Source organism: Homo sapiens, chromosome 7 (genome assembly GCF_000001405.40).
Source record: "Homo sapiens chromosome 7, GRCh38.p14 Primary Assembly".
In the NCBI taxonomy this organism is placed as follows: Eukaryota; Metazoa; Chordata; class Mammalia; order Primates; family Hominidae; genus Homo; species Homo sapiens.
In genome coordinates this window covers 137,079,636-137,105,343 of record NC_000007.14, presented here as the reverse complement: position 1 = coordinate 137,105,343, position 25,708 = coordinate 137,079,636, and the positions used below count along the sequence as shown (strand labels likewise).

At 37.5% G+C, this 25,708-nt stretch overlaps 1 long non-coding RNA gene across 1 annotated transcript in view, besides 2 other annotated features; it reads left to right on the top strand.

Moving 5' to 3' along the window:
• Window positions 1-25,708, top strand: part of LOC349160 (uncharacterized) — a 265,569-nt gene that overhangs the window by 58,998 nt on the left and 180,863 nt on the right. The window lies entirely within an intron of this gene.
• Window positions 11,493-11,993: an enhancer, noted in NCBI's record as "H3K4me1 hESC enhancer chr7:136778098-136778598 (GRCh37/hg19 assembly coordinates)". NCBI's record gives its function as "activates a minimal SCP1, AML or CMV promoter by ChIP-STARR-seq in naive H9 embryonic stem cells {active_cell/tissue: H9 hESC(naive)}" and the evidence as "EXISTENCE:reporter gene assay evidence [ECO:0000049][PMID:30033119]".
• Window positions 24,178-24,370: a silencer, noted in NCBI's record as "fragment chr7:136765721-136765913 (GRCh37/hg19 assembly coordinates)". NCBI's record gives its function as "represses an EF-1alpha promoter that drives an FKBP-Casp9 reporter gene in an ReSE screen in K562 erythroleukemia cells {active_cell/tissue: K562}" and the evidence as "EXISTENCE:reporter gene assay evidence [ECO:0000049][PMID:32094911]".

The window sequence follows — 25,708 nt, the reverse complement described above, 5'->3', positions numbered from 1 at the left end:
TTCATGTCTTCTCTCCTTCAGTTCTGCTCTGAATTTAGTTATTTCTTGTCTTCTTCTAACTTTTAAATATGTTTGCTCTTGCTTCTCTAGTTTTTCTAATTGTGATGTTAGGGTGAAGCTTAGTTTGGCTGGATATGAAATTTTGGGTTGAAAATTCTTTAAAAATGTTGAATATTGGCCCCCACTCCCTTCTGGCTTGTAAGGTTTCTGCAGAGAGATCCATTGTTAGTCTGATGGGCTTCCCTTTGTGGGTAACCCGACCTTTCTCTCTGGCTGTCCTTAACATTTTTTCTTTCATTTCAACCTTGGTGAATCCAACGATTATGTGTCTTGGGGTTGCTCTTCTCGAGGATTATCTTTGTGGTGTTCTCTGTATGTCTTGAATTTGAATGTTGGCCTGTCTTCCTAGGTCGGGGAAGTTCTGGATGATATCTTGAAGAGTGTTTTCAACTTGGTTCCATTCTCCTCATCACTTTCTGGTACACCAATCAAATGTAGGTTTGGTCTTTTCACATAGTTCCATATTTCTTGGAGGCTTTGTTTGTTCCTTTTCATTCTTTTTTTCTCTGATTTTGTCACACTTTATTTCATTAAGTTGGTCTTCAGTCTCTGATATCATTTCTTCCACTTGATCTATTCAGCTTGTGTATGCTTCACCAAGTTCTCATGCTGTGTTTTTCAGCTCCATCAGATCATTTATGTTCTTCTCTAAATTGGTTATTCTAGTGAGCAATTCCTCTAACCTTTTATCAAGGTTCTTATCGTCCTTGCATTGGGTTAGAACATGCTCCTTTAGCTTGGAGGACTTTGTTATTACCTGCCTTCTGAAGCCTACTTCTGCCAGTTCGTCAAACTCATTCTCTATCCAGTTTTGTTCCCTTGCTGGTGAGGAGTTGTGATCCTTTGGAGAAGAGGTGTTCTGGTTTTTGGAATATTCAGCCGTTTTTCACTGATTTTTCCTCATCTTCGTGGATTTATCTGCCTTTGGTCTTTGATGTTGATGACCTTCAGATGGGGTTTTTGTGTTGACGTCTTTTTCGTTGATGTTAATTCTATTCCTTTCTGTTGTTAGTTTTCCTTCTAATAGTCAAGTCCCTCTACTGCAGGTCTGCTGGAGTTCGCTGGAGGTCCACTCCAGACCCTGTTTGCCTGGGTATCACCAGCGGAGGCTGCAGAACTGCAAAGATTGCTGCCTTTTCCTTCCTCTGGAAGCTTCTTCCCAGAGGGGCATTTGCCAGTTGCCAGCCAGAGCTGTCCTGTATGAGGAGCCTGTTGACCCCTGCTGGGAGGTGTCTCCAAATCAGGAGGCATGGGTGTCAGGGGCTAACTTGAGGAGGCAGTCTGTCTCTTAGCAGAGCTCGAGAACTGTGCTGGGAGATCCACTGCTGTCTTTAGAGCCGGCAGGTAGGAACATTTAACTCTGCTGAAGCTGCGCACACAGCTGCCCCTTCCCCCAGGTACTCTGTCCTAGGGAGATGGGAGTTTTATCTATAAGCCCCTGACTGGGGTGGCTGCCTTTCTTTCAGAGATGCCCTACCCAGAGAGGAGGAATCTAAAGAGGCAGCCTGGCTACAGCGGCTTTGTTTACACTGTGAGGGGAAAACTGCCTAGTTAAGCCTCAGTAATGGTGACTAACCGCCCCCCACCAAGCTTGAGCATCCCAGGTCGACTTCAAACTGCTATGCTGGCAGCGAGAATTTCAAGCCAGTGTATCTTAGCTTGCTGGGCTCTGTGGAGGTGGGGTCCGCTAAGCTAGACCACTTGGCTCCCTGGCTTCAGCCCTCTTTCCAGGGGAGTGAACGGTTCTGTCTCGCTGGTGTTCCAGGTGCCACTGGGGTATGAAAAAAAAGCTCCTGCAGCTAGCTTGGTGTCAGCCCAAATGGCTGTCCAGTTTCGTGCTTGAAAACCTGGGTCCTGGTGGTGTAGGCACCCAAGGGAATCTCCTGGTCTGCAAGTTATGAAGACCATGGGAAAAGCTTAGTATCTGGGCCGGAATGCACCATTTCTCACAGTGCTTCCCTTGGCTAGGGGAGTGAGTTCCTTGACCCCTTGCCCTTCCCGGGTAAGGCAGCGCCCCACCTTGCTTCTGCTTGCTCTCCGTGGGCTGCACACACTGTCTACCCAGCCCCAATGAGATGAGTCAGGTACCTCAGAAATGCGGAAATCACCCGTGTTCTGCGTTTATTTGGCTGGGGGCTGCTCCTATCCAGCTGTCTTGCCCAGGTCCCCTGGAAAATAAAGTTTTCAATAGCATGTTCCTTCCTTCATTTTGTGTCAACTAATCATTATGTCCACACTGAAGGTCAGCACTTGGGGCAGGCACTGGGAACATAACAGTGAATGCATAGAGGTTAGTCTTCTAATGGAGAAAATAGATATTGTAGAATTCATCACTAAAATAAATAAGAAATCACAGTAGCTTCCATGAAGGGAAAATGGAGGATATTATAATAGACAATACATTAGTTTGGGAGCTTGGAAAATTTAACTGAGACTTTAAGGACATGTAGGATTTAATGAAGCACACACCATGAGGAAAGACTTCTAGGCAGAAGGAACAGCTTGTGTAAAGTCTCTGAGTTTGGAAAGAGGAATGAAAAGATAGATATATGAAGACAAAGTGATGTGAAATAATTTACTTTCCCCTTCTTTTTGGAAAAAAAAATGAGATGATACTGTGAGTTGACTCTATTTTTCTATTGCCTAAACTTAAATCCATTTTAATTAAGTCAAATACCTAATTTAGGATTAGTGGTGTAAATCTAAATCTAGAAAAATAAACAAAATTGAAGGGGAGATTGTCTCTGGAGTACAAACTGGTCTTCCCCTCCCTTGAGTTAGGAAGTACAATGTAAATGCATGTATTTCAAGGATTGAATATCAGCAATATTATCTTCAAGTGAAAGATGACATATGTTTATCCAGCAACGCTTATGGTTTCTTTCATTTCCATTCTACCTAAAATCTTTTCAAAGTTTGTCCTAGAAAATCATTAATTAATCTCTCTCTCTTTTTCTCCTACACACACGCGGACTCTCCATTGGCAATGATTTGCCAGACAGTGTAGGAAGGTTTCCTTCTTCCACCTTCACAGGCAGCTTTTCTATATATTTGTTTTGTCTTCTACCAAACACGATACGGGCATTAAAACCTTAGTGGGTGCAGCACAGGTAATCATGTAATTTGGGTTATAATTTGCTTAACCTTAGAACCTCCTTAAATATTTCATCCTGTCATAGATTTTGTAATAGCGCATTTATGAATGGTTGGAGTTAAGAAATATAGAAGAAAATAGTAATTATAAAATTTAGAGCTTTATTGTATAAAGGGATGAAACAAGCTGAAAAGATATTCCTAAAAAAATTTCAAAAATTTATGGATTACAGAAGCTATAAAGAATAAACTGGAACATTTAGAAGAGATTACTTTGAATTTGAGGTATTCCATCATATAAGAATAACAATTATGGCCGGGTGCGGTGGCTCACGCCTGTTATCCCAGCACTTTGGGAGGCCGAGGCGGGTGGATCACGAGGTCAGGAGATCGAGACCATCCTGGCTAACACAGTGAAACCCCGTTTCTACTAAAAATACAAAAAATTAGCCGGGCGAGGTAGCGGGCGCCTGTAGTCCCAGCTACTCGGGAGGCTGAGGCAGGAGAATGGCGTGAACCCCGGGGGGCGGAGCCTGCAGTGAGCCGAGATAGCGCCACTGCACTCCAGCCTGGGTGACAGGGAGACTCCGTCTCAAAAAAAAAAAAAAAAAAAAAAAGAATAACAATTACTACTAGAGAGTATGAAACAATACCACACAAGAATACACATAATATTGGTAGGATGATCTGGATTAAAGCATTCTAAATGACAGTATTTATGAGAGAAGACAGAAAGTAACCATATTGATTTTGAAAAGGGATCATAATTTGAGAAATTACAAATATACAAAAAGTAAAATGCAAACTTATGAACATATTTCTGCCAATAAACTAAAAGTCTTTGAAAAGATGGACCAGTCATGAGATCTATTTTTCATTATATCAATTCAATAATTTAAATAATTGATCAATACTCTTTTTTTTTAGATGGAGTCTCTCTCTGTCGCCCAGGCTGGAGTGCAGTGGCGTGATCTCGGCTCACTGCAAGCTCCACCTCCCGGGTTCACGCCATTCTCCTGCCGCAGCCTCCCGAGTAGCTGGCACTACAGGTGCCCGCCACCATGCCCAGCTAATTTTGTTGTATTTTTAGTAAAGATGGCATTTCACTGTGTTCGCCAGGATGGTCTCGATCTCCTGTCCTTGTGATCCGCCCGCGTTGTCCTCCCAAAGTTCTGGGATTACAGGCGTGAGCCACTGCGTCTGGCCAATCAATACTCTTAATACTTGCTACCAAGAGACTTCAGAAACTGCAGTGAAAATGAATGCAAAAATTCTTGTCAGGTAGTGGAGTAGAAAATATTTTATCCCTGAAAACTCATAACCATGCAGATTTTCAGCTAGAATTCCCACTATCTGTGGTGTTTGAAAAATTGTGGTTCTTGAAGTCAAGAGTTTAGTTTAGATAAAAATTTTCTCTGAATGAAGTTACCTGAACTTCAAAGTATTCCTCAAAATAAATTCTGAAAAATGTGTTCATATAGCCAAAAAAAAAAAAAAAATCACAAAACACTTAAGGAAAACATAGCATAAGCAAAACCCAGCAGAAACAATAGACTGAGAAGTCAGGCTTGCAAATTGGAATATTCAGACATAAAATATCACATACATATGCTTAAAGTACTTAAATGTAAAGGGTTTCAAAAGAATTGCTTGCATTCAGGAGGCGGAGGTCGGAGTGAGCCGAGATCACACCATTGCACTCCAGCCTGGGCGACAGAGCGAGACTCTGACTCAAAAAAAAAAAAATACAGGTTAGGAACAAAATTCCTAGAACTAAAAATAAAGCATAATCATTAAAAGTGAAACAAGCAAAAAAACAAAACATAAGTTGTAATAACATAATAGATACAACTAAAGAAAGAAGTAGTAGAATGGGAGATAGGTATAAAGACATGATCTATAATGTAGCCCAGAGAGAAAACAAAGATGGAAAATAAGAATTGAAAATAATAAGGTGACATTAGAGATAGAGTGAGGTCTAATATGTTTTTTAATCAGAGTTCAGGAAAAGAAGACAAATAATGTGCTGAGGCAACATTTGAAGATCAAACATTTTATGGAACTTATGAAAGACACTAAACTACACATTTAGGATACAATGTAAATCTCAAGTCACATAAATTAAAAAATAATTCTTAACCTATAAAGTATGGTAAAATGAAAATCATTGATAACCAATCTCAAAAACAGTCATAAGTAGATAACTTTTTAAGGAACAGCAATCAGTTTAATAGCTAACTTTAAGAGCAGTGGAAGTCAGAAGAAAGTACGATAAAGTAATATCTATGAAATTACTACCTATGAATATTTCTAGTGAGAAAAATAACTTTATTCCTGGTATCATGTACTAACTGAAGACAAGAAAATTTTAGTCAAGCAAATTGTGAATGTGCTACTAGAAGAGCAATACTGAAGGCAAGAAAGAAACAGAAAGAGAAAACAAAACAAAAAATCAAAAACACACACACAGAAAGTGAGGTGATAGAAAGAAATCCTAATATACCAGTTATTTACAATAAATACAGGTGGACTAAATTCCTTTTCTTCATTTCACTTTACACATTACATTTCTGTAAAGAGTGGGGATTATGGGAGCTACAACTCAAGATGAGATTTATTTGGGGACACAGCCAAACCATATCAATATTGAAAAAGAAAAAGTAAAAAATACCTCTATTCCCAGCTGACATGATTTTTTTTTCTTTCAAATTTTTATTTTAGGTTTAGGGTACATGTACAGCTTTGTTACAGGAATAAATTGCAAGTCACAGGGGTTTGGTGTACAGATTATTTCATTACCCAGGTGATTAACATAATACCTGATAGGTAGTTTTTCAATCCTTACTGTTCTCCCATCATCTACCCTCAAGTAGGTCCTGGTGGTTTTTGTTCCCTTTTTTGTGTCTGTGTACTCAATATTTAGCTCTCATTGATAAGTGACAATGTGTAGTATTTGATTTTGTGTTCCTGTGTTAATTCACTTAGGATAATAGACTCCAGCTCCGCCCATGCTTCTGCAAAGGACGTGATTTTATTCTTTTTTATTGCTGTGTAGTATTGCATGTTGTGTATGTACCACAGTGTCCTTATCCTCTCCACTGTTATTGAATATTTAGGTTGATTCCATGTCTTTGCTGTTGCGAATAGTGCTGTGATAAACATAGGAGTGCATGTGACTTTATGATAAAATGACTTGTATTCCTTTGGGCATATACCCAGTATACCATATTGCTGGGTCAAATGATAGTTTTATTTTAATTCTTTGAGATATCCCTACACTAAAACTTTCCACAATGGCTGAGCTAATTTACATTCTGACTGGTAGTGTATAAGTATTCCCTTTTCCCTGCAACACCACCAGCGTCTGTTATTTTTTGACATTTTAATAACAGCCATTGTGAATGGTGTGAGATGATATCTTATTTTGGTTTTGATTTGCATTTCTCTAGTGATTAGTGTTGTTGAGCATTTTTCATATGCTTGTTGGTTTTGCGTATATCTTCTTTTGAAAAGTGTCTATTCATGTTCTTTGCCCATATTTTAATGGAGTTATTATTTTTTGCTTGTTAATTTGTTTAAGATCTTTATATCTAGATATTAGACCTTGGTCAGATGCTTAGTTTGCAAATATTTTTTCCAATTCTATAGGTTCTGTTTACTGTTAATAGTTTCTTTTGCTGTGCAGAAGCCCATGGGTTTAATTATTTTCCATTTGTGAATTTTTGATTTTGTTGCAATTGCTTTTGGACTCTTTATCACAAAATCTTTGCCATAGCCTATGTCCAGAATGATAACTCATAAGTTTTCTTCTAAGGTTTGTATAGTTTTAGGTTTTTTATCTGATTCTTTTTTTTTTTTTTTTTTGAGACAGAATCTCACTCTGTCGCCCAGGCTGGAGTGCAGTGGCATGATCTCGGCTCACTGCAAGCTCTGCCTCCCAGGTTCACGCCATTCTCCTGCCTCAGCCTCCCGTTATATCTGATTATTTAATCCATCTTGAGTTAATTGTGTATATGGTGCAAGGGAGCAGTCCAGTTTTGCTCTTCTACATATGGCTAGCCAGTTATATCAGCACCATTTATTGTGTAGAGAGTCCTTTCCCCATTACATTTTTTCTCGATTTTGTTGAAGATCAGAAGATCATTAAGTGTGTTTGTAGCCTTATTTCTGGGTTCTCTAACCTGTTTTTGTACCAGTTCAATGCTGTTTTTTTTTTTTTTACTGGAGCCTTGTAGTATAGTTTGAAGTCAGGTAATGTGATGCTTCCAGCTTTGTTCTTTTTCACTTAGGATTGCTTTGACTATTCGGGCTACTTTTTGGTTTCATATAAATTTTAGAATTTTTTTCTAATTCTGTGAAGAATGCCATTGGTAGTTAGATAGAACTAGCATTGTAGTTTTAAATTGCTTTGAACATTGTGGCCATTTTAACAACATTGGTTCTTCTTATCATGGATTTGTTTTTACATTTGTTTGTTTTGTTTCTCTCTCATTATAGAGATCTTTCACAAGCCTGGTTAACTGTATTCCTAGGTACTTTATTTTCGTGTGTGTGGCTATTGTGAATATAATTGCATTCTTGATTTGGCTCTCAGTTTGGATGCTGTTGGTGTACAGAAATGCTGCTGATTTTATACATTCATTTTATATCCTGAAACATTGCTGAAGTTGTTTATCAGATGTAGGAGCCTTTGGGAAGAGACTTTGGGATTTTCTAAATATAAAATCATATCATCAGTAAAGAGAGATAGTTTTATTTCCTCTTTTTAAAATTTGGATGCATTTCCTTTCTTTCTCCTGACTGATTGCTCTGGCTACAACTTCCAGTACAATGTTGAGTAAGAGTGGTGAGAGTGGGCATTCTTGTCTTGTTCTGGTTATCAAAGGGAATGCTTCCAGATTTAGCTCACTCAGTATAATATTGGCTGTGGTTTTGTCATAGATGGCTCCTACGATTTTGAGGCATGTTCCTTCATGGCCTAGTTTGTTGAGGGTTTTTAACCTGATAGAAAGTTAAATTTTATCAAAAACCTTTTCAGCATTTATTTAGATAATCATGAAGTTTTTGTTTTTAGTTCTGTTTATGTGATAAATTGAATTTATTGATTTGCATATGGTGAACCAACCTTGCATCCCAGGAATGAAGCCTACTTGATCATGGTGGATCAGCTTTTTGATGTGCTGCTAGATTTGGTTTGCTAGTATTTTGTCAAGGATTTCTGCATCTGTGTTCATCAAGGATGTTGGCCTGAATATTTTTTGTTGTCATTGCTGTGTCTTTGCCAGGTTTTAATATCAGGATGATGCTGGCCTCATAGAGTGAGTTAGGGAGGAATCCTTCCTCCTCATTTTTTTGGAATAGTTTGAGTAGGAGTGGTACCAGCACTTGTTTATACAGCTGTGAATCCATCTGGTGCAGGAGTTTTTCTAGCTAATGGCCTTTTTATTACTGATTCAATTTTGGAACTTGCCATTGGTCTGTTTAGGGTTTCCATTTCCTCCTAGTTCAATTTTGGGAGGTGGTGTGTTTCCAGGAATTTATTCCTTTTTCTAGGTTTTCTAGTTTTTGTGCGTAGAGGTTTTCGTAATAATCTCTGAGGTTTATTTTATTTCTGTGAGGTCAGTGATAATGTTCCCTTTGTCATTTATGATTGCATTTATTTGGATCTTCTCTCTTTCTTTATTAGTCTACGTAGCAGTCTATCAATTGTATTTATTCTTCAAATGAATCAATTTTTTGTCTCATTGATCTTTTGTACTGCTTTTTGCATCTCTATTTCTTTCAGTTAAACTCCGATTTTGGTTATTCCTTTCTTCTGCTAGCTCTGTGGTTGGTTTGCTCTTGTTTTTCCAGTTTTCATAGATGTAATATTAGGTTGTGAATTTGAGATCGTTGTAACTTTTTGATGTGTGTGTTTGGTGCTATAAAATCTCCTCTCAACACTGCTGTAGCTGTCTCAGAGATTCTGGTATGTTGTATCTTTGTTTTCATTAGTTTCCATAAATTTCTTGATTTCTGCCTTAATTTCATTGTTTACCCTAAATTCATTCAGAGGCATCTTATTTAATTTCCACATAATTGTATGATTTTGAGAGATCTTCTTAGTATTGATTTCTATTTTCCTTGCACTATAGTCCTAGAGTGTGGTTGGTCTGATTTGGATTTTTTTTTTAATTTGTTAAGAATTGTTTTACAGCCAAGCATATGGTCAATTTTAGAGTACCTTCTATGTGCAGATGAGAAGAATGTATATTATGTCTTTGTTGGGTAGAGTGTTCTGTAGATATGTGTTAGGTTCATTTGGTCAAGTTTCAAGTTTAGCTCTCTAATATCGTTGTTAGCTTTCTGCCTTAATGACCCGCCTAATACAGTTAAGGGGTGATGAAGTTCATTATTATTGTGTGGTTATCTAAGTCTCTTTTTAGGTCTTTAAAAACTTGTTTTATGAAACTGGGTGCTCCATTGTTGAGTGTATATATATTTATGATAGTTATGTCTTCTTGTTGAATTGAACTCTTTATCATGCCCTCCTTTTGCTTTTTTGATTGTTGTCAGTTTAAAGTCTGTTTTGACTGAAATTAGACTAGCAAACCCTACTCTTTTTTGTTTTCCATTTTCTTGGTAGATATTTCTCCCTTCCTTTACTTTGAACCTATGAGTGTCATTGCATGTGAGATGGGTCTCTTCAAGACAGCAGAGAGTTGGCTCTTGCTTCTTTACCAAGTTGCCACTCTGTGCCTTTTAAGTGGAGGCACTTAGCTCATTTATGTTCAAGGTTAATATTGATATGTGTAGATTTTATCTTGTTATTGTGTTGTTAGCTGGTTGTTATGAAGACTTGATTGTGTAATTGCTTTATAGTGTCAATGGCCTATGTGTTTAAGTGTATTTTTGTGGTGGCTGCTAATGGTCTTTCATTTCCATGTTTAACACTCCCTTAAGAACCTCTGCAAGGCAGGTCTTGTGGTAACAAATTCCTTTAGCATCTGCTTGTCTGAAAAGAATTTTATTTCTCCTTTACTTATGAAGCATAGTTTGGCTGGATATGAAATTCTTGGTTGGGATTTTTTTTTCTTTAAGAATGCTGAATATACACTGCCAATATCTTCTGACTTATAGGGTTTCTGCTGAAAGGTCTGCTGTTAGCCTGATGGAGTCCCTTTGTAGGTGACCTGCCCCCTCTCTTTAGCCACTTTGAATATTTTTTTTCTTTCACATTGACCTTGGAGAATCTGATAAATATGTTGTCTTGGGGATGGTCATCTTGTATAGTATTTCATAGGGGTTCTCTGAATTTCCTGAATTTGAATGTTGACCTCTCTATTGATGTTGGGATAATTTTCATGGACAGTATCTTCAAATCTGTTTTCTGTGTCACTTGTTCTCTCTCCTTCTCTTTCACAGACACCAAGGAGTCATAGGTTTGATCTCTTTACATAATCCCATATTTCTTGGAGGTTTTGGTCATTTTTTTTTCTTTATTTTTGTCTGAGTTGATTCAAAGAACTAGTCTTTGAGCTCTGAGGTTCCTACCTCAGTTCGGTCTATTCTGCTGTTAGTACTTCCAGTTGTATTATGAAATTCTTGTTTAGTGATTTTTTCAGCTCTATTAGATAGGTTGGTTTTTTTTTTTTTCTTTAAGTGGCTATTTTGCCTTTCAGCTCTTGTATTGTTTAATTGGATTCCTTAGCTTCCTTGGATTGGGTTTCAACTTTCCGCCAAATCTCAATGATCTTCATTGCTATTCAGATTCTGAATTCTTTGTCTGTCATTTCAGTCATTTAAATCTGGTTAACAACCATTGCAGGTGAGATTGTGTGGTCATTTGGAGGTAAGGAGACACTCTGGTTTTTTGAATTGCCAGAGTTCTTGCACTGCTTCTTTCTCATCTTTGTGGGCTAATGTTCCTCTAGTGTTTGACATTGCTGTCCTTTGGATGGGGCCTTTTGCTTTTATATTATCTGATCCTCTTGAGGCTTTGACTGTGGTGTAATTTGGGTTCTGTCACCTGGCTTTATTAATGAATAATTTCATGGGGCCAAGACTCAGCTTAGCACTCCTGAGCTGCAGGTTGTAACACTGGACGGCTGGAACAATACCCATGGCTTTGTTCTCTGGCACTTTAAGATTAAGCACCTGCTGTGCTAGAGAGGTAGAGGTGTTCCGGGTCTCCTGGCAATAATACTCCAGTGGTGAGTGCCAGCAAAAGCACTTTGGTCAGGGCAGTGGCAATGGGGCCTGCCTTTACGTGCGTGCTTGGTGGCAGGATGGCAACATGGTGGGTCTGCAGTCATGCTGGTGGTGGCAGGGCAGTGGGGTGCACACACACCAATGAGGGTGAGGTGGTGACATCCACACGTGTGCATGTGCTGGTGGCAGTGGGGTGGTGGCATGGCAGTGTCATACTTGTGTACTGGTGATCGCAGGGCAGTGAGGTCTATGCACACAAGCAAAGCGGTATGGGGAGGCTGTTGGCAAGTGGGCACCAGCAAAGTGGTGGTGGGAGGCTGTGGGTGGGTGTGCATCAGTGGGGGCCCATCTTTTGAAGCTCTCCAACAGTTAGGTGGGGTATACTGGCAAAAGAGCTATGGCGGTGGCTGCAAGGAAATGCTCCAGTTGGGCATCAGAAGCTGTGCTGCAAGCAAGTGTGGCCACACAGGGACTCCGGGAGAGGCTAGCAGATGAGGGAGCTCAAATCAGACTGGCCCTAGAATACAGGCAAGACAGCTTGGCTTTGTCCGGGTCTGACAGTCAACAAAAGCTAAAACCACTTGGAGAAACGTGGCAAGCCTTGTGGGATGGGTGTCCCTGGCTGTGCTCCACTGCAGCTGTTCCTGCACCAAAGTCTCTGTGCTCCACACAGGCTGGAGTCCTGTTCCTTCCACCTCTCTAGGCAGCTCTTCTTGTCAGCTCATACATCCATTGGGGTTACTGGGTCTCCTGCAGCTAGGATTCTGGAGGTCCATAGTGAGACTTGATCACTCCTTGCCTATTTAACTCATCACTTCTTCAGGAGCTGCTGGATTCCAGGAATGAGTCCTGGTGCAGGGTTCTCAGCTTCCTCCCCCTTTATCCCTCCCTCTGTCTACTCTTCCTTCTGAAGATCTGCTTGGAATGCCAGTCTTCTTGATGCTCTGGTCTCTCAGTGGGAGATGCTCTTCTTGGCTATGCCTAGTTGGCCATTGTGGCTCTTTTTACATGATTGTTTACAGAGAAGTCTCATGGAATATACAAAAGAAATCTACTACAACTAATAAGTTTAGCAAGGATACAGGATATAAATTTAATACAATAAAATCAATAGCATTTATACATAATGTCAAAAAAATTAGAAATTGAATATAAAATAACTTTCAAAATAACAGCAAATATATGACAAAAGAGCTAATCAAACAAAAGATATGAAAGACCTGTATACAGAACACTACAACACACTGCTGAGAGATATTAGGGAAGATCTTACAAAATGGAGAGATATACTGTGTTCATGAGTCAGAGGATTCAATTATTATTTACATATAAATTATCTCCACATTGATCTATAGACTCAGTACAATACCAACCAACAAATTAGCAGGCTTTTTTTTCTTTGGTAGACATTAACAAACATTCTAAAATTACATGGAAATGTAAAAGACCTAGAATATTTTTAAAAACTGAAAAATTAGAACCAATTGGAGGACTAACATTATGTGATTTAAAGACTTAAGCTTTAGTCAACAAGACCATGTGTTATTGGTGCAAATAGAAAAATGGAACAAAATAGAGAGCGAAGAAATATATGGAAGCACAAAGATGTCAAGATAACTCAGTAAAAAAGAATATTCTTTTCAACAAATGTTGCCAGAATAATTGGATACTCGTAAAAAATTAACTCTTATTTATACCACTTACTATATACAAAAATCAACTCAAATTGGATCATGGACCTACATGTAAAATCTAAAACAATAAAACGTATAAACAAAGAACAGGAAAAAAAACTTTATTTGAATTAGAAAACACTTTGTTAGACATAACTTCCAAAGCCCACCATGTAAAAGAGCAAATTTAGTGAACTTCATACAATATAAACACTGCTACCCTTCAAAGGACACTGTTAAGAGAATAAGAAGTACATTCACAAACTGGAAGAAAATATTTGCAATCATACAATTGATAATGGACTTTTATTCAAGATATAGAAAAAGTCCTCAAGACTCAAAAATAGACTTCCACTTTCAGGAAGATGGAGTAGGCATAATTTTCCCTATTCCTTGCATTATGTATAGCTAAAACCATAGACACACTTGTATAAAACAAGCATAATGATTCTGAAAGTTGGAGATAAATAGGCAACCCAGATAAAGACGTTGGAACCTGTGGAATTTCTTAGGTTTTCTTTTTACCTCCAGTAACCCTGACTGGTAGTAAAAAATGCCATTTCTCTGCCTCTCCGCTGTGTTTGTAAAGATCATGTGGTGAGGAGCCTGAACTTTCCACCTGCACCCAGCAGTAAAAGGCACTTCATTCTCCTTATCAGTGGGTGTCAGAGGAGACCTAGTGGATAGTGAATACTTATGCCCCACTCAGCAGTAACAAGCCACATTCCCCAAGAGGGGTCAGCAGAGACCATACGAGGAGGCTGGACTCTCACCCTATCTGGGAGTAATGAGGAGTTTTTCCCCTTCCCTGTAGGAGGGTTATCAGAGGAGGCCTAGTAGAGCATCAAGACTTTCAGTACTTCTCAGCAGTAATAAGGACATCACCATAGTTTAGGAGGAGGCCAGGTGGGAATAGTAATAAGGTATACCTTCCTAGGCAGATTGGTGTCAGTGGAAGTCTAGAGTGGAGCCTGAACTCCTACACCCACCCAGCAGTAACAAGGAGCCTCTCCCTCTTATATGCCAGCCTCCATTGGCACCTAAAGAGGAGGGGCTTCTTGTTACTGAGGAGAGAACTGGACTTCCATTCCTACCTGGAAGTAATGAGGTTGTGACCCCTTCCTTCAACTGTGGAAGCAATGTTACAGGAGCCATCCTGAAACAGAACATTTAATAAAACCAGAGTCTTACAACATCCTACCCAAAATGATGGTATTAATTGAAATTGTTTATTATTCCAAGAATCGGGACAATCTCTAATGAGAAAAGATAATCAACAGGTACCGACACTGAAATGACAGATGTTAGATTTGTCTAATGGGGATTTTAAAGCGCTGTCACAATAATATTTCAACAAGCAGTTATGAACATATTTGAGACAGATGAAGAAAAAAGAGAAAGTCTCAGCAAGAAACTAGAAGGTACATTTTTAAAAACTAAGTGGATATCTTATAACTAAAAATGTCTGAAATTAAAAACTGACCATACGCAGTGTTGGCAAGGAAGTAGTGAACTTGGAACTCCCACAGACTGCTTGTGGGAATATAAAATGATACAACCATTTTGCAAAATGATTTGTCAGTTTCTAAAAAAGTTAAACATACACCTACCATATGATCCAACGTTTCCCTTCCTATGTATTTACCAAGAGAAAAAGATTTGCACATGAATGTTCCTAGTGGCTTTACTTGTATCAGCCAATACTAGAAATAATGCAAATGCCCATCAACATGTGAATGGATAAACAGACAGTCCTAGTCCGTACGGTGCAATAGTACTCAGAAATAAAAATGAACTATTGCTATACATTATAACATAATAAAAACGTAAGGTGATTATGTAAAGTGCAAGAAGCTATACAAAGATCAATACATACTGTAGGTTTTTATTTATATAAAGTTTAGAAAATGCCACTTAATGTACAATGGCAGAAAGCAGATCAAGGGTTATCTGCTTTGGAGGGATGGTGTAATTACCAAGTGGTACAAGGAAACTTGTGCAGATGATGGATAGATTCAGTATCTTAATTGTGGTGATGATTTCACGGATGTATACCTATACCAAAACATCAAATTATACACCTTAAATACGTGTAGCTTATTATATGTCTATTATACCTCAATAAAGCTGTTGATTTTCAAAAAATTATGTCTATTAAAATCCCTAATTTTAAAAAATTTTAATTTGATGATATAAATTTCTGTTTTCTTCATACAGCTTTAATAAAATGTCTCAAGAAACTTTAATATAGAATTATTCTGTTTTTTAGACTTCTGTGTTCCAATCAAGGACAGGTAATTTCTTTTCATTCTGGGAATTATTTTTCATTTCTACTCTAAGGCTCCACTTAGATGTAACACTTTTGATTTATAACCATAAAAAAAGTTCCTTAAAAAAAGTCATTGAAAAAGAATATCATCTTTGATCTTGAAATTTTATTTTTGTACATATTAAAAACTATTATGGCCATAATGAAAAAACTTTTTTTTAAAAAAATCTTAGTTTGAGAAGGGAAAAAAGGGGTCTCTGATCTTTAAAATTAGAGGAATCCACATTGGTGCAAACACAGCAAAAACAAACACAGAGTCTGTTTATGAATGGAAGGACAAAATACTAATGACTTCTCACTCCCAAATTTCAAAAGTATCAGAAACATCAAGCTAACACAGAGACTACATTTTTACAAACTCAAATTCCTAATATCTGTCACCTGACAGAGACCAAACCCCTGTTGTCTGCAGAAATCTCTAGATAATCAAACTAAAAAATCAAAGGACAGATTACTTCACTTTTGCAATATGTAAGAACAAAAATCAGCTATGCACAAATCATCATTATAACCAGAAACAAACATTAACTGAAAGTATCTATTTAGCATGTTGGAGTTGAAGTATTGAATTCCTACTACAAATGAGACTTACCAGAGGAACTAAGATAAATTGATTCTCTCAAAGTGTACAATTTAGACTTTAGAGTACACAATTTTATTGGCTACAATTGTAGAACTCAGTCCAATAATGATTCAGTGACAACTCTAGAAATGAATTATCAAAAGGCAATTCAGAAATATTGAGTTAGTTGTACCATGGTAATAATTTATCTACATTTATGAAGAAGATTTAGCTGCTGTCAATAAACAAAGACAAAAACAGACTACTAAGAGAAAGTGGAAAGAGGGGAGAGAAAGTTTGGAACAGTGAATTTTGTTGTTATAAATTTGTAGCTAGGAAAAAAGCCAGCTGTGGTAGGGTATCTTGAAGGTCGAAAGGAAGCAATTTTGTTTCTTCATGAATTCTTCAGAAAAGCTTGAGGGTTTATCTGGCATACACAGAAGATGGGCAAAGATACATTTGTATCTCTATCTTGAGTGGTTGGAAGATGAGAACCATTTTTTTTCTACTAAATTTTAATTACTTAATGAAAAGTAGGACAGAATTGTCAGCTGAAAGTTGGGTTATCAGGTGAATGCTATGAGTGCAGCATGGTAAGATATTTGAAGAAATTTGGTTAGAAAAAGGAAGGCATGTAATGATCATCTTACAAAGCTGAAAAGCAGGCTAACTTCAGAAATATGGTAGGATTCAAGAAAATTTCCAAATGAAGAAAAGTATTTTTTTAAAAATCCAATCCAAGTAACATTTTTTAACCCCTAATTTGACTATGAAATCTGTATTTCCCCCAAGTTAGGTTAAATTCAGAAGTCATTTTTTTTAAATCCCAAATATGTATATTATGCAATTTTCACTATTCAGGATGTTTTATTTCACATGGTACCAATTTCCTCTTAGGCTTTATCCCTTCATCTCATAAAGCCTTTTTTGTGTGGTCCTTATTCTGTTGTCCTCCTACTTTTAGTGTCTGTGGTCATCCTGGGTATTTCTCCCTCACCCTCCTTTATATTGATCTTTTTATTTATCTTTATTTTATTTATTACTATTATTATTATTTTGAGACAAATTCTCACTCTGTTGCCCAGGCTGGAGTGCAGTGGTGTGATCTTGGCTCACTGCAATCTCCCACTCCAGAGTTCAAGCAATGCCTCAGCCTCCTGAGTAGCTGGGATTACAGGCATGTGCCACCATGGCTGGCTAATTTTTGTATTTTTAGTAGAGATGTGGTTTCGCCATGTTTCCCAGGCTGGTTTCAAACTCCTGATTTCAAGTGATCTGCCGGCCTTGACCTCCCAAATTGCTGGAATTACAGGTGTAATCCACTGTACTCAGCCATATTGACCCTTTTAAATAAATATTATATAATAGTGTCATGACAGCAGATAAGTAGCAACATATATGATCTACAGTTGCACTTGATGCTGTACACTGACCCACTCTGGCCTAGAACAATAGAGGGATGCAAATTCCAGGTAACATAATTCCAACTTAGGTTAGTTGACGGTACAAAACTACCATAGACATTCAAAGAGACACAATAAAAACAAAAATCATTAGATTCATGAAACAAAAACACAATGAAAAGAAAAGAATATTGAAATAAATCTTTATATTAAGTCTTCAAAATTGTTGTGTACTGTACTTATACTTAACAGTATACCTGAATTTGGCCTAATCACATTTCAATGCTCAGTAGCCACGTATGGCTAGTGGGAACCATAATAGCCCACAAAAGTATTTTTTTAAAGATTTTAGACAAAAATCTTATGGCAGATTTTTATAATTCAATGGAATATTTATATATTTTAGATGTAAAACTCTTCAACAGAATGCAACAAAAAGACAAAGTAAAGAAAAATAAGGGCAAAAATAAGACATTTATAGAATCTAGGTAAGATATCCAAACAATAGAACTTCAAGGGAAAAAAGAAAGAAAATTGACAGAGGACATTCTTTGGTCTTCAGAGAAAAGAGCCACTGAATACATACTGACTACATTGATGTTCAAAGCTTTAATTCCTGTGCAGACACAGGGAGATTTGAGTATAAGAAATTTGAGAAATTATAGAAATGCAGCATATATTCTCATTGAGTGTAACCTCATAAAAGTTATGAGTCCTAACTTTTGTCAGCTTCTTCCTTGACCTGGAAGATATACTCATCTAGTATGAATACTTCCCTTCAAGAATGCAGGCTGCATAATAGTTAATTACAATGTTGGAGTCATGATATGTGTGGTAGCAGCGATTAAACTCAGAAATAGAGAAAACCACAGACATGCGGAGTCATTTGCGTAAATCCATTAGGCCCCTTTGCTCTGGACCACTTATGAACCACTGCCCTGCACTAGTCTCAGCAACTGTTAGGATTCCTCCCACCTGCTACATTCCATGCATTTCACAGCAAGCACCTAGTTTTGGTTCCAGTGTTCTTAAAGTATACTCATTGTAGGTGGTATTTTTCCAGGTTAACTTCACAATCTGTATCCTCCTGCAGGCTCCTTACAGCCCTACCACTATGCCAGTGAAGCAAGCCTCTCTCAGTTCTCAGAGCATGTGAGGACAGGTTCACTTCAGGAACTGACCCCTTGACTCATTATTAGGATTTTATGTGACCTCTTGGTACTGAGAGTTACCTGTCAGAATTTAGGATATGTAACTCATCAATTCCATGTCAGAATTCTTATAGTTTGTCATATATGTTAATGACTACTAAATACTGGTCTGTTGGTCAGTGAAGAAGATATCAAGGCTTTCAAGGGAAATTGAAACAATAAGGATATTTAATTCATTTTTTATAAAACTAAGTTTATAATTTTAAACTTATAAATTTAAGTTTAATACTTTAAAAATTCTGAAATAATACTGATATGGTTTGGATGTGTCCCCACCCAAATCTCATCTTGAATTTTAGTTCCCATAATTCCCACATGTGGTGAAAGGGACCCAGTGGGAAGTAACTGAATCATGGGGGTGGCTTCCCCAATTAGTCTCTTGAGAGTAAGTTTTCACAAGAGCTGATGGTTTATAAGGGGCTTCCCCTTTTGCTCTGCTCTCATTCTTCACCTTCCTGCCACCATATGAAGAAGGACATGTTTGCTTTCCCCCTCTGCCATGATTGTAAGTTTCCTGAGGCCTCCCCAGCCCTGCAGAACTGTGAGTCAATTAAACCTCTTTCCTTTATAATTTACCCAGTCTCAGGCAGTTCTTTATAGCAGCATGAGAATTGACTAATACAAATACCATTCCCAATCTTGTTGTAAAATTATCCTTCATTTTATGAAATGATAGAAGTGGTAATTGGCTGTTTTATTTTAAATTACCTTATTTGGCCATATAAAAGTTTGACTGCCAAGGAAAAAAAATTAGCCACTGTATATTGTTCTTCAAATATTGAATTGAAAATCCTAGTGATGTTTGATCTAACTCACCATGACAGGAATAGCCATCTCTCTTATACCATGCAAAGATGACTATTTATTTTCAAAATTACATTCATTCTAAATGTAAATCAAAATCTGAAATGTAATTGATTGGAAAAGTATATGTAAAACAACCAGGATTTTGATAGAACTTCTCACTTTTAGCTTAAAAAAATCTTTAAACATTTTTATCTTAATTAACAGGTTATATTTTGTCTCAAGGGTTACATGCCTGAAAGGTAAGGATAGCCACACAGGAATTCAGCTGTTAAGATCTAGCTCTGCTCTTCATTGGCCTTATTTCATGACAATCTTTCCAATACTAAAGCAGAAACAATGACATGGGATTCTTTTCAGTGTTCTTGAATATACCAATATCTGTCCCACTCTAGGGTCTTCACAATTTTCAAAATTGTACTCACCCTTTTAAGGAGTTTGCCTGCTTCATGGTAGTCACAAATATTTCTTAAATGAATAAATTAATTTGTGGTATATGTCAATATAAAAGGGTGGCAACTGATAAGAGGAAAAGTAAGAATTGCATTTCAACAGTGTAAAATAGCACGAGATAAAACATAGAATTCTTTTTCTGTGTAAATAAGCATACAAGGTATTATTCATTCTTGACTAATATAGCTATTACTATATTTAGGTAATTGGGAGATATCCCAGCAGATGGACTATTTCCTCCATATTTACATATTCTGCCCAGAACCCTTTTAGCTTGTTAGAATTTCTTTTAAGAATTCCAGTTTTCCAGCAGTGATTTTCCAAGCCCACAGTTTCTACTCACACACGTTATAAATACTTTTAATGCCAAGTTCCAACTCCAGAGCTGGATGACAATTTTACATCTCTAATTCTGAGTCAGATGGAGGCATTTCACACGCCTGTGTGGCAGCAGTGGGTGTCCAAGCTGTTTAGCTTGCTGATCCTTCAGCATTTATTTTCTTATGGAAATTTTGAAAAGCATAAAAAATGCTGAAAAAGCTAACCTTTAGGTCTAGCATGGTGATTTATAATCCCATATCTGACAATCATTCATAGGAAAGATTATGGTATGAATTGCTAGAGGCTTTAAAGAGACCCAAAACTTGATGAGTCCGTCAAGCTTTTTCCTGGTTTCATGATGAGAAAGACAAGAGGGCGTGTTTCCAGGAGAAATTTCACAGCACCCCTAAAGAGCCGATGCTTTAATTAGAACAATATTTCAAGTGTCAGTGGATAAGACTACTAAATAAAACTGGGGGATAAGCTGATGGAGGTGAGAAAGTCCTTGAAGGCCCTTTAAGCTCTCTGGAGAATAGAGCAATGTGTAATATACATCCTAGAAGAGAACAATAATTAAATATGATTTATGCCTCCAGATCTCAGTATAATCAAATGTCCTCTTATTTTTCTCACTAGTGGACTTATGTTTTGTTTTCAATGATTATGTTTATGATGCATTAAATTTCTTTACAGACAATGAAATGTTTAGCTTCTCTTTTTCACATTACCACTGTCTGTACTGTATTTTATGCTGAATTTAGATCTAGTCTATAGGCATGGTAGAAATATGCTGTTTGCTCTATCTGGGATACCCTTTCCTTCTTCCTCACTGCTGTTTCAGAAGAGTAAGTCTTGTATCTTCTTTGGGACTTGGCTGAAATTTCCTTCACGAAATCCTTTTATAATCCAAGAATACTGGAATTGCTGTCCTGCCTCAAAATACTTTTACCCCTCTGTTTCTTCATGTCCTACCACTTATGCATTGTGCCTCTCTATTTGTTCCTGGGTTTATGCCAGGAAGCAATAAACCTCTATATTGTTGTAGTTCAAAACTTGGACTCCCGAATCACAATATACCTGCACTGCTAACTTTGCAGCTAACTAGCTTTGTAGCCTTGGGAAAGTTATTTAGTGTCTCTGGGAATTAATTTTTTATATGTGAAATGGAAATGATCCCAGGTAGTTTCATAGGGCTGCCATGATGATAGTATGAGGTAATGCATATAAAGAACTTAGCATGGTGCCTGGCTGAGTAAACTGTCCAAAATTGTTTTCATTATTTTTAATATTATTGTTTTCTGTGATGACAAGAAATTGTGGTTCATAGTAGAGACTGAAGAATATTTAATCAATAATTAAGAAACATTTCTTGTTTCTCTGTCTATTCAGGAATCAAGAAAGTTATTTTATTTATTTTTTAAGGCGGTTACTTTAAATTTAAAACTAAACTATTAATAAACTAAAAGTGTCAAAACAAAACTCTTCTGTTCTGCCCCTCATAAATGGGAGAGCAAAATAGATAGTATCTTTAGAGAGGGAAGATACTGGAGCCAGATAGATGTATTTTGGGTTAAACTCAATGTAACAAAGACCATTTTCAGTAGGAAGTTGTAACAAAAGACTTTGATAGCAGAGGTCAGTTTTTATGTCATTACGCAGTATCTGTCTTTGGTTTGAATTACTGGTGCTTTCTAAAATATTACATATACCCACATTCAAATATGCAAATAACATTTTAAATTATTTGATATTTTAGATTTTTCATGTTGTGTTTTTGTTGCATGAGTAAATCATCTCTCCCTACTATGAGAATCTGCCTGTCTACGATAGGCAGGAAATCCAGTAAGTTCAGAGAGTCATTACCTTAGAGGATGTTTGTATTTGGTTGGTGCAAAAATAATCGTGGTTTTGCCATTAAAAGTAATGGCAAAATCCGGCCAGGAGTGGTGGCTCATGCCTGTAATCCCAGCACTTTGGGAGGCCGAGGCAGGTGGATCACCTTAGGTCAGGAGTTCAAGACCAGCCTGACAACATGGAATTAACCCTATCTCTACTAAAAATAAAAAATTAGCCAGGCGTGGTGGCTCATGCCTGTAATCCCAGCTACTCGGGAGGCTGAGGCAGGAGAATTGCTTGAACCTGGGAGGTGGAGTTTGTGGTGAGCCGAGATCACGCCATTGCACTCCAGTCTGGGCAATAAGAGAAAAACTCTGTCTCAGAAAAAAAAAAAAAAAAAAGGATGGCAAAATCCACAATTACTTTTCCACAAATTGAACAATCACTGATTGATCTCCCAGTTTAGATACTAATGTGCAACTGTCATACCTATTTGAAAGGAAAAGCGTTAACCAGCAAAACAGAAACAAAAGGAAGATAAGATTTCTTATAGTCGTCTTCTTTGTTGTTAGTATTTTAGGTTTCCTGTTGGGGATTACTTAAGTGTCAAGTTCACCACCTGGCTTTCAAAGTCAAGAGGATAATGAAAATTATTATGCCTTGCATTTACATACTGTTCTGCAATTTATAAAATGCTTTCACAGCAACCAGTTCATTATTCCTTGTACTTGCCATTCTGGATGAAGACAAATCAGCAGAGAGCTGTGAACCTTGTGTGGATTATTGAATCTTCCAGGATGGCTTTGAATGTATCACAATATGGCATAGTTGGGCTCTGAAAATGTTACTAAGTTGTTGAGAAGGATATGTTGTTCACTGTAATAGACAGTGTTCTATTTTGGAAGACTCACAAAATAAACTTCCTACTACCATAATCTAGGGAATACCTGTCCATCTCTTGAGCAATTTAATCATATGGACATTGGCACTATGGAACTGATTTGAAATCTTCATATATTGACTGATAAAATGATCAAATCTGATTTTGCCAAAAAGCAAGAACAAGGACGCAAGACTTACATTAGCCTCATTCTTGGCTACCTTAAATGGCTCTGTGCTTTTTTCTTCTTTATCTATTTCAAATTTATGGTACCTTGCCATATTTATGTGTCACTGTAAACTACTTCAAGTCCTTTTTTTAAATGAAGAAAGGCATACATTATTAAAGTGTTTTGCATGTAATATTCTATTTGAATCTCACATGAGCCCTCTATAAAAGGCATATTACTAACCCAATTTTAACTATCCACCCATATTTCTCACTCTTTTCCCCAAAAACAGTTAGACATTTTCTGCAAAGTTTGAGGCTGGCAAAGATCTATGATTGGGATTCTGTGCTCTGTAATCCTGGATCCTGCTTTGTGTAATAGATCCCAAGTGCAGGCTTATGCAAGCAGACAGCCTGGAATCCATGCCAGCACTGTGTCTCTCCAGCACTGATTAATTTCTGTGCCTAAAAGCCATGTGTTCATCGTGGATGATAAGCTTGTTGCACAAACATAAGCTAACCACATTGAGTAAGTTTGGCATTAGTTCTGCATGAACCCCAGGGAGAAGGGTATTAACCAAAAGGAATAAAAAAATTCCTGCCAATTTAGGCATGAATGAAATGTTTTAAGGCATCTGTAGACTTTTACATACTAATAAGAAAAAAAACATATGTTTTATAAAGCTGATTTGCAATTCATTTAACCAAACAGGTTGCACTGAGGAATTCCAGGTTCTAGACTTTGAAAGTGGTCTAGACATGTCCTTAGCAATGGAGGCACATGAATACAAATAAATATAAAATCACTAATAATCAAAACATGCCATCTATCGTACTAACTTTGATGGAAATACTTATATACAAAGAAAGTCATGACACTATTTTGTGGTGTACCAAAATATGATTTCTATGCATGTAATCATAGAAGCTTGCAATTTCCAGATCAGTCTTCTTTTCCTCCTCCTCCTCCTCCATAAAAAAAAAGGCAAGCAAAGAATAAAGAAAAGGAAAGAAAAAGGGGAAAATAAAATCTGTGAAGGAGCACAACCGCATGAATAATGCCATCATAGATTGGATCACCTTGAGAATCATGCTCTGTTTTCGTTTTCCCTTTTGTGTTAACATAGAAACAAAGTTCCACCTTTACATTGTTCTAAAAGAATTTTTTCATATTTATGGGAGAGAAAGGTGAAGGGAGGCCATGTGTATGTGGTCCAATTAGAAACATAGGCTTTTAGAGCTGGCAGGAAACCTGGGGATCATGTACTGGATTCTCCCACCTGGTGCAGGAAGTCTTTCTGCTGCATCTCTGACAGATGGTCAGCGAGCCTTTGCTGGGAAACCCCAGCCGTGAGAAACTTAGCACACGCCCACTGCCACCACCACTGTGGGGAAGAAGGCTTGTTCAACCCTACAGCCATCCTTGCTAACTTCTTTTTTTTGTGTTCTTGTTTTTTGGAGCATTAAAAGACAGCACTTCCTTTCTACTATATGACAACCCTTCAAATCAATGAAAGAGCTGTTATGATTGTCCTACTATGATCCTAAGTTAAACCCATGAGTTTTCCTCATCTGCTCAACATGTGGTATTGCCTTCAGAATCTTCACTAGTCTGGTCACTCTACTGTTGATAGAATCAACCTGTTCGTGATTGTCCTAAAATGTGATTACCCAGGGAGGGATCACTTAGTTTGGGCTGCAGTGGGACTATGAATCCTGTGTTGAAATTACAAACTACTTTTATTGGCCTGGCCTAAGATTGCATTGCTTTTTAACGGCTGCATCAACATTATTTGCTTTTTGTAAGGATTAGAGTTACATAAACTCTCTAAATATCTAAATTTTTCCATTTAACATGATTTTAGCCCATAATAGTTTTTTTAACCACATACTTAATGGTAAGATCATAGGCTAAGTTTAACCACATACTTAATGGTACGATTATATGCTAAATCTAATAAAATTAATCAGAATTTATAAATGTATATCAGAATTTGTGAATTTATCAGAATTCACAAATTCTGATGAATTTATCAGTTTAACAAATTTGGATATGTGGCTCATGCCTATAGTCCCAGTACTTTGGGAGGTCTAGGTGGGGGGATCACTTAATCCCAGAAGTTTGAGTCCAGCCTGGTCAACATAGTGAGACCCCCATCTCTACAAAAAATGTAAAAAAGAAAAACTTGGTCAGGTGTGGTGGCTTATGCCTGTAATCTCAGCTACTCAGGAGACTGAGGCAGGAGAATCACTTGAGCCTAGGAAGCAGAGGTTGCGGTGTGCCGCGATGGTGCCATTGCACTCCAGTCTGGGCCACAGAGTGAGACCCTGTCTCGAAACAAAACAAAAAACAAAACAAAGAAAAGAAAAGCATATTTTGTCGTGGTGGCACACACCTGTAATCCCAGTTGCTCTGGAGGCTAAAGTGAGATGATTTCTAGAGCCTGGGAAGTTGAGGCTGCAGTGAGCCATAATCTTGCCACTGCACTCTAGCCTGGGCAGCAGAAAGACCCTGTTTCAAAACAAAAATTCAGAATTGCATGTAAACCAACTCCCTCCAAAATTCTTGATTTTTGTGCTACAGATACATTATCCAAACTTTCTTGTAGGTAAGTCTTATTTTGAATCATCTTTGTATGTAACCTAAATATTTTTTTCTTTTTCTTAAGACAGGGTGTTGCTCTGTCACCTATGCTGGAGTGCAGTGGCAAGATCACAGCTCACT